The sequence below is a fragment of the Homo sapiens genome, chromosome 12 (genome assembly GCF_000001405.40).
Source record: "Homo sapiens chromosome 12, GRCh38.p14 Primary Assembly".
Classification (NCBI taxonomy): domain Eukaryota; kingdom Metazoa; phylum Chordata; class Mammalia; order Primates; family Hominidae; genus Homo; species Homo sapiens.
The window spans coordinates 123048317-123062053 of NC_000012.12; the positions used below are offsets into that span (position 1 = coordinate 123048317).

The 13737-nt window shown below is 49.4% G+C and overlaps 1 protein-coding gene across 29 annotated transcripts in view, besides 1 other annotated feature; it reads right to left on the reverse strand.

The window, feature by feature from the left end:
* The window catches only part of PITPNM2 (phosphatidylinositol transfer protein membrane associated 2), a 168369-nt gene that overhangs the window by 64837 nt on the left and 89795 nt on the right, over nucleotides 1-13737 (reverse strand). The window lies entirely within an intron of this gene.
* Nucleotides 10178-10679: an enhancer, noted in NCBI's record as "H3K4me1 hESC enhancer chr12:123543041-123543542 (GRCh37/hg19 assembly coordinates)". NCBI's record gives its function as "activates a minimal SCP1, AML or CMV promoter by ChIP-STARR-seq in naive H9 embryonic stem cells {active_cell/tissue: H9 hESC(naive)}" and the evidence as "EXISTENCE:reporter gene assay evidence [ECO:0000049][PMID:30033119]".

The following is a 13737-nucleotide window of genomic DNA, read 5'->3' on the forward strand; positions in this document are numbered from 1 at the left end:
TCCCTAAAGTAGTCAAATTCATAGAGACAGAAAGTAGAATGGTGGGTGCTAGGGACTTGGGGAAAGGAGAATGGGTAGTTAGTGTTTTTTTTTTGTTTTTTTTTTTTGAGACGGAGTCTCGCTCTGTCGCCCAGGCCGGACTGCGGACTGCAGTGGCGCAATCTCGGCTCACTGCAAGCTCTGCTTCCCCGGTTCACGTCATTCTCCTGCCTCAGCCTCCCGAGTAGCTGGGACTACAGGCGCCCGCCACCGCGCCCGGCTAATTTTTTGTATTTTTAGTAGAGACGGGGTTTCACCTTGTTAGCCAGGATGGTCTCGATCTCCTGACCTCATGATCCACCCGCCTCGGCCTCCCAAAGTGCTGGGATTACAGGCGTGAGCCACCGCGCCCGGCTGGGTAGTTAGTGTTTAATGAGGACAGAGTTTTAGTTTGGGAAGATGAAAAAGTCCTGGAGATGGATGGTGGTTATGGTTATATAACAGTGTGAATGTCCTTAATGTCACAGAACTGTATGCTTAAAAATGGTCAACATGGGGCCAGGCACAGTGGCTCATGCATATAATCCCAGCATTTTGGGAGGCTGAGACAGGAGGATCACTGGAGACCAGGAGTTTGAGACCAGCCTGGGCAACATAGTGAGACCCCATTTCTACAAAAAATAATAAAACTAGCCCAGCATGGTGGCATGTACCTGTAGTCCCAGCTACTCAGAAGGCTGAGGCTGGAGGATCTCTTGAGCCCAGGAGTTTGAGGCTACACCGAGCTATGATTGTGCCACTGCACTCCAGCCTGGGTGACAGAGCAAGACCCTGTCTCTAAAACACACACACACACACACACACACACACCCCTCCTACAAAAGCTCTGACAGGAGCCACAGTGGAGAAGCCAGGTGCTGCCTGAGGGTTCCATAACCAGAGGGACCTGACAGCAGCTCCCAAGCGTGCTTGTCCAGGAGGGTTCCATGCCTAGGACGCCCTTCACCCTGCCTTGTCTCCTCCCGATCCTGTCTGTTGCCCGCAGAACTTTGTGCATCCCTCAACTCAGTTTACTTCCAGCTTCCAGGTCTGTGAGATCCCGTGTGCCCTGTCTGCCTGCTCGTGAGCCATAGCTCCTCCATCGCCACTCTCCAGCCACATGGCTGCTTGCTTTGCTAGGAAATCACTATGTTAGCTCTCCATTCCAGCTGCTGCCATGCCCAGGAAGCACCCATTCCCCAGGCCAGGGAACAGCTGCTCCCTCACTCCCTGGCATCAACCAGGTCTGGGCACAAATGCCATGCCCTCCCTGTCCCTTCTACAGTGTAGATTTCCTCTCCTGCCCAGTTCAGTCCCATTGCCACACTTTGCAATGATCTGATTTGTGTACTTGAAGACTGCCTCCCTCCATCCCAGCACAGGTGACAGGAGGGCAGGGAACTTGTCTGTCTTATTTGTTGCCATAATCCCAGTAGATAATCCTAGAATGGTGCCTGCACAAAAGAGAAAAAGATAACACCTTTCATTTGTCTCTCCATTCACAGCAGGTGCTAGGCAGCCAGGGCCTGGCACTTAGTAGGTACTCAAGAAGGGTAATTGGCAAATGTTCACAAAAAAACCCTCTGCAGGCAGATAACGCTGCCGCCAAGCAGCCAAAGTGCTAATTACAAACTGCTCTGTTAGCTGTTCCTTAGCGCAGCTAAGATTCTCCAAGAATAGTGCACGCTCCCTGCCATGTCCCTGTTTCTTGACAGCGTCTGTGACTCAGACTTTTCATGGAGCCAGACTTGCCCTCCTCAAGAGCATGTGCAGGGCATAAACGTCAAACAGGACAACTGGATGTTGCTGCCCATGGTGTGGGCTGGGGGTGGGGGTATCTGAAGTCATCTCAGCCCTTTCTGATGGGCAGGTTTGGGAGAGACAAGCTGGGCCCTGAATGAGATATGGCAATGCCAGGCAGCCCAAATGCCCTTAGTATAACTACCACCTCCTCTCAGACACACTCAGTGCAGCTCAGTTTATAAACACTCTGCCACAACAATCTCGCTGGAAACTCAATGCTCAGAAGCAGTCAGGGCAAGATGGGAACACAAAAGCCCAGAGGGACTGAGTCATTTGACAAGGCCATACAGTGAGTCAGGGCAGAATGGTACCAGACTCTGTATCTCCTGGGCTGTGACCCAGGACTGATCTACTGTACTCTTAGGTGAGCAGGAAACCCAGGCGTCTTAGGTCACCAATAACCAGGTCCAAATGCTTAACTCAGAAGGGAGCAAGCAGGCAGAGCCAGAGGACCTAGAGGACAACGAAAGGCCCAGCCAGTGTCCTTAGGGGATGTGAGGACAGGCACATTCACGTGTCTGTACAACTTCACCCAGGCCTTGCTCCACAGCATTGTGAGCGGTGTGGCCTTTACAGTCCAGCCTCCCAGGGCTGCCAGAAACACAACATGCCTGGAAAGTTTCCCAGGTAACTGGCTCTTCTTTACAGAGCTATTAGCTTCCCTTCATCATGCCATAAAATCCTCCAGCCGATGACAGATCTCATCCTTCTCCAGGGAGGGAAACAGGGAAGAAACGAAACACAAAGGAAAAAAACCACTGGTCAAATTTGGAAAGCCCCATGGGCACATAACTTGGGCAGAAAAGGCATCAGAGATAGCTGGGTTGCTGCATTCAGTTGCACAGGCTATGCACTGTCCAACTCCAAGCGATGCCATTCTCATGTACTACAATATGAATGACACTCCCTTGAGTTAGGAAGTGCAGGGAAAGGACCTTGCATGATTTTGCGCAATGTCTTCAATATCCTCAAGGCCCACCCCTCGCTGACACCTTGTCCTAGGCCTCTCAGTTCTCAGAAACTTCTCATTGATACCCCTCTTGCAGGAGGAAATGACCAAGGTTGGGGAGGAGTCAAGGCAAAGGGTTTGGCATCTATTTCGTGAGCCACTTGACTGGCTGGGCTGAAATCAAGCACTAAGCCCAGGACTAGAGAGAAGTATTAGCCACCTTTTAAGGGCTGAATCCCACTTACGTAGACTTTGTTCTATTTCTCTCCTCTTTCTGGCTCTCTAATTAGATAAATGTTAGACTTTCTCCACGTATGTGTCTTATTCTCTCTGCAGCTTCCTTTTCTTCCAGTGTTGTATTCTGGATTTCTCCACGTTTGACTTAAAGTTCTGTTTCGTTGTTCAAATCTGCTTCATCATTCTTTAGAGCTTTTAATTCTCTGCACATATTCTCAACTTTGCCTTTTATTTATTTAAATGCACTGAACAGTTATTTTATTGGCTATGCTTAAATATTGCAGCATCTGAAGTCTCCAGAGTCTGTTTCTGCTGTAAATTGTTCGTGCTGGCTCTGGCTCTTAGTGCTTTATCTCTTCTTCTACTCAGTTATTTTTGACTAAGAACTGCTCACTTTCTGTGGAAGATATTTGTAGAAATTCTTTTGAGGCTTAGGATGAGGGTCTGTTTTTCCAGAGAGGGCTATATTTGCTCCAGCAAATGCCTGAGTTAACACCCATCTGCGATCACTCTAAATTCTCAGGTAGAGGTTAGTGGGAACCAGCAGGTCATGTAAGTTCATCTTTCTCGTTTTTCCATTCTATTCTTTTTTTTTTTTTGAGACAGTCTCACTCTGTTGCCCATGCTGGAGTGCCGTGGCGCCATCTCGGCTCATTGCAACCTCTGCCTCCTGGATTCAAGCAAGTCTCCTGCCTCAGCCTCCCGGGTAGTTGAGATTACAGGCACATACCACCATGCCCGGTTAATTTTATTGTTTTTTTTTTTTTTTTTTTTTGTATTTTTAGTAGAGACCCGGTTTCACCATGTTGGCCAGGCTGGTCTTGAACTCCTGACCTCAGATGATCTGCCTGCCTCGACCTCCCAAAGTGCTGGAATTACAGTGTGAGCCATGGTGCCTGGCCTAGTTTTTCCATTCTATTCTTACCCCGGAATAGACAGCGGGTTTGTTTGTTTCCTAGGGCAACCATCACAAAGTGCCACAAACTGAGTGTGGCTTTAAACAAAATAAATTTATTCTCTTACAGTTCTGGAGGCCAGAAGTCTGAAATGAAGGTGTCAGTAAGGCTGGTGGATTTCTTGAGGTCAGGAGTTTAAGATCAGCCTGAGCAACACAGGGAGACCTCATCTCTACAGAAAATTTAAAAAATTAGCTGGGCATGGTGGCGCAAGCCTGTAATCCTAGCTACTTGGGAAGCTGAGGTTGGAAGCTCATTTGAACCCAGGATATCAAGGCTACATGAGCCATGATCACACAACTGCACTCCAGCTACAGCGACAGAGCAAGAGCCTTGTCTCAATCAATAACAAAATAAAATAAAATTTTAAAACAGCCAATATAATAAATTAGATGAAAATTCTTTTCTACTCTTGAATCTCCCTTCCATTCTTGGAATAAATCCTATTTGGTCATGCTGTAATAATATATTCAGTTGAATGAAATTTGCTAATATTTTATTTAAGTTTTTTTTTTTTTTTTTAAGTGAAACCAGCCTGTAGTTTTGTTGAGTTACTGAGTTCTCCTTTGATTTTGGTAACAGGGTTCCTTGTAAAAGAGTTGTAACATTTATTTTTATATTATTTATTTTTTAACTCTGCACCCCAGCTGGGGTACAATGTCACCATCACAGCTCACAGCAGCCTCAACCTCCTGAATTCAAGCAACCCTCCCCCTTCAGCCTCCCAAGTAGCTAGGACTACAGGTGTGCACCACCACACCACACCTGGCTAATTTTTTATTTTTTGTAGAGACAGGGTCTCCCTATGTTGCAAGGGCTGGTCTCCAACTCCTGGCCTCAAGGAATCCTCCTACCTCAGCCTCCCAAAGTGCTGGGATTACAGGTGTAAGCCACCTTGCCTGGCCCTTTTTAAACCCTCTGAATTTATTTTTCTAGCTTCTTGAATTGAAAGCTGGGTTCAATAATTTTTAACTTGACTTGTCTCTGAATAAATTAATTTAGGGCTATATATTTTCCTTTGAGTACTGATTTGGCTTCATCCCATAGGTTTTTACATCCAGTGTTCTTACTGCCGTTTAGTTCAAACACAGTCGCTTAAAATTTTCATTTTGACATCCCCATTTAAACTAACAGTTATTTAGATTTTTGTAACTAATCTGTTACTCTCAAGAGATTTTTCTATTGAAATTTTTATTGATAATTGTAAATTCACATGTGGCTGTAAGCAATAACACAAAGAGATCCCTTGTATACTTTGTCCAGTGTCCCCCAATGGTGACATCTTTTTTTTTTTTTTTTTTTTTTGAGACGGAGTTTTGCCCTTGTTGCCCAGCCTGGAGTGCAATGGCGTGATCTCGGCTCACCAAAACCTCCACCTCCTGGGTTCAAGTGATTCTCCTGCCTCGGCCTCCTGAGTAGCTAGGATTACAGGCATGTGCCACCACGCCCGGCTAATTTTGTATTTTTTAGTAGAGATGGGGTTTCTGCATATTGGTCAGGTTGGTCTCGAGCTCCTGACCTCAGGTGATCTGCCCGCCTCAGCCTCCCAAAGTGCTGGGATTACAGGCAGTGACATCTTACAAAACTACAATATTACTATCAGGATATTGACATTGATACACTCTATAGACTTCAGTCAGATTTGCCAGTTTTACTTGTATTTATTTGTGTGTGCAGTGTGTGCATGTATTAAGTTCCATATAATTTTATCACTTATGTAGGTTTGTGTGTATAATAAAACACCTATCCTGGATTTTTAAAACTCTACATTATTCACTCCATATCTGTCATTTTTCACTTGCTATATCATCAATTTATTTATTTATAATTTTTTATTTTTATTTTTATCCTAGGGACAGGGTCTTACACTCTGTCACCCAGACTGGAGTGTATGGCGCAGTCATAGCTCACTGCAGCCTCACACTCTTGGGCTCGAGCGATCCACACCTAGAAACCTTTCTACCTCCTGGGTACAATCTTGGCTATTGTTTCCTTTTTCAGTTGAATCCCATTTTCACTACACCTTTTCAGGATTCTGCATGATTTCTTAGCCCCTAAAGGCATTTGTTTGCCTGCATGGATATGGGTTTTTAATAATATTTGTTCTATCAGATTTAGGGATTTGGAGCATGTCCTCAATCTGCAGCCATGATCTCACTCCTGCTTACACTTCCCAGGGATTTTCTTTTTTAAACTTGGGGTCAAAGAGAGAATGTGGGTCAATCCTTTACTGGTGGCAAAGGCAGGGAAGCTGTCGGCAGCTGTGTCCTCTTCCATGCAGTCCAAGAGAATCCTGGGCTCCAGCAGTTGCTGTCCTTCCACGGATGGTGAACATGAACATTCCAATTAGGTCTCCTTTTTGCCTGAGTTCAAACTGGATTTCTGTTGCACTCAGAAAGGTCCTGACTAAGAGTAGGATGATACATCTTGCTTTGACCTTCTGCATGTTATTCACTTGCTGAGCAAACCCTTTCCTCCTGAAGGGCAGAAAGATACATTTATGCTGAGGTATGGTGGCTCATGCCTGTAATCCCAGCACTTTGGGAGGCCAAGGCGACAGGATCACCTGAGGTCAGGAGTTTAAGATCAGCCTAGACAACACAGTGAAAACCCATCTCTACTAAAAATACAAAAATTAGCCCGGCATGGTGGGATACGCTTGTAGTTCCAGCTATTCAGGAGGCTGAGGCAGGAGAATCACTTGAATCCGGGAGCAGAGGCTGAAGTGGGCTGAGATCACACCACAGCACTCCAGCCTGGGCGAGAGAGCAAAACTCAGTCTCAAAAAAAAGAAAAGAAAAGAAAAGAAAAGGTACATTTTACTTTACTCCAAGGTCAAAAAATGGTTGAAAACTCCAAATAAGTTAAGGTGTTTTCTCTTTGTATGATGGTTCTGAAGTCTCGAAGTCTGTCCTCTGAGTCCACAGAAGACGTGGTGTGAATCTGGTCAGGAGAAAGACGCTGCAGCTGGTTGGAGAAAAGGGCAGATGCAGCTCGACATAAAGTCCAGTGTTCCCAACGTGCCACCCTTTCATCATGTGCAGACTCTTTCTGCCAAATGACCACCCATGAAATATGAGCTCTTTCTGTGAATCTGAGGAGTTGCTCTGGGCCCAGCACGTGGGGCCTGGAACTACCTCAAAGGCTTCTCCCGTCTAAGGAAGCAGTATACGCCACCAGCTCAGCCTGCCCAGCGTGCACACGGCACCAAGCTGGCTGGGTGCTAAACAGATACAATACTTGGAACTAAAATAAAACCCAACTCAGTGACATCTTGATGCAGCTTTGTAGGAACAGCAGGCTCCTGTGTACACACCGTTCTGCTCTGCACGCCTATTTGTAAATTAATCACACATCAGTAGACTTGGCTCAGATTCACATGTTTCTGGACCACTGTGAGGGTAGCTCAGGCTATGGGATCTTCCATTCAGCTTCAAAACCAGATCCTTTCAACAGATTCTGGGTGAGAATTCTTCTTCTTGCCAGGCTCTCTTAAGCCACCCACATCTTGCTCCCTTCCCCAGCAGAAGCAAACAGGGCAGAGGGAACGGTGACTCCCCACAAGCCCCCTCCATAAAAGCATCCCCAATATACTAATATCATAGTTTGAAGACACACACACACACACACACACACTTGCAAGATGTTAGTGAAAGCACGACGAAAAGAAATAGAGTGGCACCTTTTTATGATGTGTTCATACTCCACCAGCCAATGTCCTGCCTCTGCCTCTCCCTGGGGTTCTTTCCTGTGGTGTTAATCTCACCTCTGCTCCACCTGGATCCTAGAACACTGCCCAGTCCCAAGCCCAGTTGGGCTTCCTTGAGTTCACTCTTAGGAGCCCTGCAGCTTGAGTTCCAGGCTCTGGCCCTGAGGTCAAGGCAGTGGTGATGAGTCACAGCTGCAGGTCAGTGGAAAGTGACTGCAGCGTCAGGCCAAGCTTGGCCACTTACATGTCTGGCATGACAGTGGCCTCAGAGTACTCGTCTGAGAAGAAGAGCTATCACCTGAGCGCTCTGGAGAACTTAGCCGGAGCTTTCAGGCAGTCTGGGAGCCTACATGGAGGCGTGTAGGCTTATGTCTCATGTCCACGTTGCCCGGGAGACAAAATCCTTTTCTATTTAGAGCTGCCCCAAAATGTTCTGCACCAGCTTCTCACTGCGGTGGCTTCACCTTAGCATACAGGTATGTGGACGGCCACTGTGCTGGCTCACCTTGGACACTGCCTTCATGGGCCTGGGTCAGGTTCTCAGTCAGCAGCTCTTGCCAACTCCAGGAGGCCCAGACCCAGGAGTGGCCTCCTGCTGCCGGACACGAAGAGGGAAAGAGCTGAGCTGCCCGGCCCTCTTCTTCTAACAAGCCCTCCTGGGTTGACAAAGAAAGTCTCTCCCTGCACTGGGTGACACTGGACACTGTCCCTGTCCTCTCCCGGGATGCCCCAGGCCAGGGGCTGGGATAGCCTCAGGGCCTGGCTCTCTCCATACCCAGCCCAATCAGGGGTCCTGTGCCCAAGATCCTATCAAGATGGGTGCTAAGAATCACAGAGAATGGGGACAACCTGCAGGTCCCTGCAGGACTTTGCAGACCCAGGAGGTGGCAGTTCACTGAGGTCTAGCCCCTGGCCTTGAATGGGAACCAAGCAGGTGTGAACTGGGAGTAGAGGCCACCGATCTGCTGCTCAGCCTTGGACAAGTCAGAGTACTCAGAAGCCTCGGATCCCAAATGTGAAAGAGAAAAGCGCGTCTGAGTGTGTGTGAGAATTCCTTCCTAACCGGGGAGCATATCTTCAGGGCAACTTCAGGTTAAAAATCTAAATTCAGGCCAGGCGTGGTGGTTCACGCCTGCAATCCCAGCACTTTGAGAGGCCGAGGCGGGTGGATCACCTGAGGTTGGGAGTTCAAGACCAGCCTGACCAACACGGAGAAACCCCGTCTCTACTAAAAATACAAAATTAGCTAGGCATGGTGGCACATGCCTGTAATCCCAACTACTCGGGAGGCTGAGGCAGGAGAATCGCTTGAACCCGGGAGGCAGAAGTTGCGGTGAGCCGAGATCACACCATTGCACTCCAGCCTGGGCAACAAGAGCAAAACTCTATCTCAAAAAAAAAAAAAAAAAAATTTAAATTCAAAAACAAACAAAAAGAACTTCTTCCTAACAGGAACATTCAGAAGAACTAAGGAAAGAATGTCTCTGAGGGTGCAAATGGTACCATTGGTCTCCTCACCCTACAAGTATTTACAAAGTGCCGTAGACAAGACCGCATCTGAAATCAGAGCTGGGCGGGAGGCAGGACCTGTGGTTTCTAAGTGCTCTCTCCACTTCCCCAGGCAATGGGCCTATGGACACCAAAGCTGGGGCGCCCGGCCAGAACCTGAAGCCCCAGGGCACATAGAGGCTGTAGGCTCTGGTGGTGACGGTTCATCTGAGTTACAAGCGGCTGAGCCTCCTGGGCTCCCCACCGCGACGCCCACCCCTAGTTGAGGAACAAGCCCTAGGAGGCTATGGGAAAGAAGGAGGGGGAAAGCAGAGCCATCTGGCTTGTCCTGAATTATTAACCACAGAGGAGGAGGTACAGCTAAGGCCCTGGGGGAATCAGGTGCAGCTGCTCTCAGAGTTGGAGAGGGGAACTGGAACCCTTTTGCAGATCCAAGGGATCCAGAGGTTGGAATGTGACCCTCCGTGCCAGCTGGGCCCCAAGTCCCAGGGACCCCTCCTGTACACCTGACAGGTGCTACCTCCTCTCTGGGCCACTAGGCAGCAAAAAACAAACTATGCCTTCATCCCCTGACCTTTTACTCTTCAAAGTACTTACGAACCCACGTTCTTCACTTCTTCTTTTTGGGCATTTTGTCGGAAGGATAAACCAAGGCCAGGTGAGATCAGACAATTCAGCCAAGGTTGTAGGGCTGCCAGGGAGGTGGTCAGGGTGTATACCAGGTCTCCGTCTCCAATGCCACCATGGGGTCCCCTCCCCAAGAATTCCAAGTCACCCATGGCTGAGCCATGGGAAGAACACCTGCTATGTCTCCCTCTAATTTGCCTTCTGCCTCCATCCCTTTTGATTCTGGCCCTCACCAGCACTCCCTGGGTGTCAGAGACAGCCTTCTAATTGGCCTCTATGTTTCCAGTTTGGTTCCTCTGAAATCCTCCTTCTAGAAACCATTAGAGGACATCTTCCCAATGCAGATGCAACCATGTTTGCCAGCTCCCCAGAATGTCACTGGAAGCCATCATGCCCCACCCACAGCCTCTCCAGGGCCTCTCTCACTCCACCATTCACCTGCTGTTCCCTGCTGTCATTCTTGTTGTTCCCTGTTTGCGGTCCTCAGCTCCAAAGCCCTCAAGAGCAGCACCTGCCTCTTACACCTCGGCCCCAAGCACTGCAGAAGCTGGTAACTGTTGCCTGAGGCATTTGCTCAAGGCCCCAAGCGCTGTAGAAGCTGGTAACTGTTGCCTGAGGCATTTGCTCAAGTGCTCAACCCCTGCTGGTTCTTTTGTGGAAAAAGCCCTTTCCCACGGGGTCCACCTGGAAAATTCTCGAAGTGTCTATTAAGAATCAGCTTACACAGCACTCACTCTGAGAAGCCCTCCGAGACTACTCTGGGCAAAGCTGAGTGCCCAGGTGCATTGAGAGCACCTCAGCCCCAGCTCCCACCACACCCCATTCCCATTGTCTGGGCCCAAACCATGAAGCTCAGGGCAGCACCCGCATCTGCTTCATTTCTGCATCTTCAGGGCCAAGCCCACAGCGAGGTGCTCTACAGATCTCCATAAGTACTTAGGAGAGGCACAGCTGTGGGGGCAGAGGTCAGCATCTAGGCAGGGAGAGAACCAGGCAGGGAGAAGGCCAACCAAGGATATCACAGGCTGAAGAGCCCATGTGTTTCCAGTCAGAGAGGAGGAGCTCACAAGCATGGGACCTTTTCTGGGGGCTCTTCCAAGGGCCATCTGGAGAGCAGTGAGTCAACCAGCCACCTCCTGTGTGGCTCAGCCCCTGCCCCTTTCCGTAGCAGCACTGAGCTACATAGCCTGAATTTGGTAAAAGGTCTCGGATGTGGGGCAGAGGGCCCAGAGAAGGTCAGGGAGGAACTGCCTGGGAAGCCAGATGCCCACAAGGCTCTGTGACTTCACTTCCAGGGTTCGGTCTGTACTCTCTGCAGTCAGGAGTACTGTCCCAGCTTTACCACCTTCTGGCCCTTTAGCACCTGGCCATACACACCCACTAATGCCCCCAGAAGGGTGGAGGCCCACTTCTCCCCCAGAACAAGCTTGACTGATTTGTTTTCATATCATCTGAGCTTCTCTCTTGGACAGTGGGAAGCTGGGAGCTCCACCCAGGCTGCACACAGGACTGGCTTGAGGGCCATAGAGCAGGAAATAAATGGTGAGCTTGTAGCACAGCAGGGACAAGGCAGAGCCTAAGAAAGGGCCCAGAGTCTGGTGTATGCCTGATTCTGTGGCTATGAAACATCCGGAATAGACAAATCCATAGAGCTAGGATGCAGACAGATGGTGGCCAGGAGCTGTGGGGAGGGAGGAATGGGAAGTGACTGCTTAAAAGGGACAGGGGTTCCTTTCAGGGTGATGGAAATGTTTTAGAACTAGATAAAGGTGGTGGCTGCACAATCTTGTATGCATACTATATGCCACCGAATTGTGCACTTTTAACATGTTTAAGCTTACTGAATTTCACCTAAAAAGAAACGAGGAAAGAAAGGTCAGGCAGAACTCCAAGTATCAGTTTCCTTTTTTTCTCCAAGTCCTGGCAGCGCTCCCTTTTCTGCAAGCTAGCATCCTGGCTCTTTTTATCAACCCCCAGGCCCCAAGGGCTCAGAGCACAAATCGAGGGTGAGTTTTCCATGTTGACCTTTATTTTTTTATTTTTAACCAAAGATGCTCCAGCATACTGCAGGAGAAGGAACTTGACTGGGTCACCTCCTGGTTAAAACCCTTCAAGAATTCACCTTCATTCACCAAAGCACCCTGAGCTCCTTGCCTTGGCACTGGAAGTCTTTGCACAGGCTGGTGAACTGACACCCTCACCCGTGAGGACCCAGCCCGTCTGGGTGCCATCACCTGGGTCTCCACCTCCACCGGGAAATTCTGACCTACTAAGTTGACCTAGCTCCTGACCTAACTCAAGAGCCACCTTGGCAGTAAAGCCACCCTGACCCTGTGACAGTCCCTCTGCCAAGCCCCCAGCGCCTGACACTTCCACCCAATGCTCACTCAGCAGCTCATCCTGCATGAATGCAGAGTGGCCTGGAGGGAAGTGACTGCACACAGGATATACAGACTCTCCCACCACAAATAAACAAGCGATTCTGTCAACAAAAGAGCCAGAAGAAAACTGCACTCCTATTGGAAAGGGATGAGGAGCGCAGAGGCTGCAAGGAGGGTACCAAGTCAGAGCTGGGAAGGCCCAAGGCAGGGTGGAAGGTGGAGCTCAGAGAGGGTTCCAGGGTCCCTGGGTATAGGCACGGTCCTCCTTATAGGTCACCACCTAAGGGGGCAGCAGTCCTTAAGGGTGCCAGGTTGACATAGGTGGGGTCACAAACCTCAGAAACTGAAGAACTTGCAATCCAACCCTATCATTGGGTAGATGGAAAAATTAAGGCCCAGAAAAGGGCAGACAGTTGATCTACTCATCCTTCCACCTATGCATCCCTACTCGCATCTACCCATGCATCCCTTCACCCATGCATCCACCTATCCATCTACCCATGTAGCTACCGCGCCATTCACTCATGCATGCATCCACTGATCCATCCACCCATGCATTCATCCACCCATGCATCCATCCACCCATGCATCCATCCATCATCTACATAGGGCAGGGGTGGGACTAGAGCCCAGAGCCTCTGCCTCTAAACCCAAAGGTCTTCACAACGGGTCACAGTTGACTTCTTTACACTCACGGCAGCTCTGGGAAACTTTCTGACCCCTTAATGGGTATACAGGAAGAAAGACCCTGCTAGTGGAATGGGGGAAGGGTAACAGGGCTCATGACAAGGCACGGTCTATGCAGGATGCCTGCCCTAAGGCCAATCCTCATCAACAGCTCTGTGAGGGCAGCCAACCCTAAGCCCACTCTGCAGATGAGGAAACAGGAAACAAGCTCTGGAGAGGTCTGCTGACGTGCCTACAATCCAAGGATGGTTAACCACTACAGCCATAACCCTGTCCCAGATCTCTCCACTGTCCAAGAGTAGGCCCTCTCACTGCACTATGGCACGTCAGGCATGGCTTGGGCAGGGTGGATAGGAGGCGTCCCAGTGGGCAAGAAGCTTCTCAGACCAAAGGCTTCTGAGCCAGGGTCAATGTGGTGGATGGTGGGAGTCATTGGTCATCACAAGATGATGCGTCTCACAGGAAATGGGAAAGAACTTGTACACTGGGGAGTCAGAAAAAGGGGGAAGCCTGGGGCTTTCAGGCCCTGACAAAGCTCCTGCATCCAAGGGAGCTTCTGAAGGTTGTAGGAGAAGGTGGCTGCTAGCAGGGTCCCCAAGAACAGCTGCCGACAGAGTTTGGACAAAGTTATGCCATCTCCCTATGTGCCAGTGGCTTCAGAGAGTTCTGGAGGAAAGACCCAAGAGCCGGAGCAGCTATGAGGGCTGGCTGCTGGGAAGAGATGGAGTTGGGTGCGGAGGAAGGCACAGGTGTTCTAACAAAGGGACTCTGAGAAGCAGGAACTACGGTGTAGAGGTAGGCGGTAAGTTCCTAGGGAGGCCCTGCAGCAACTGAGGGGCCCCTGCTCCTCCTCCTCCTTCT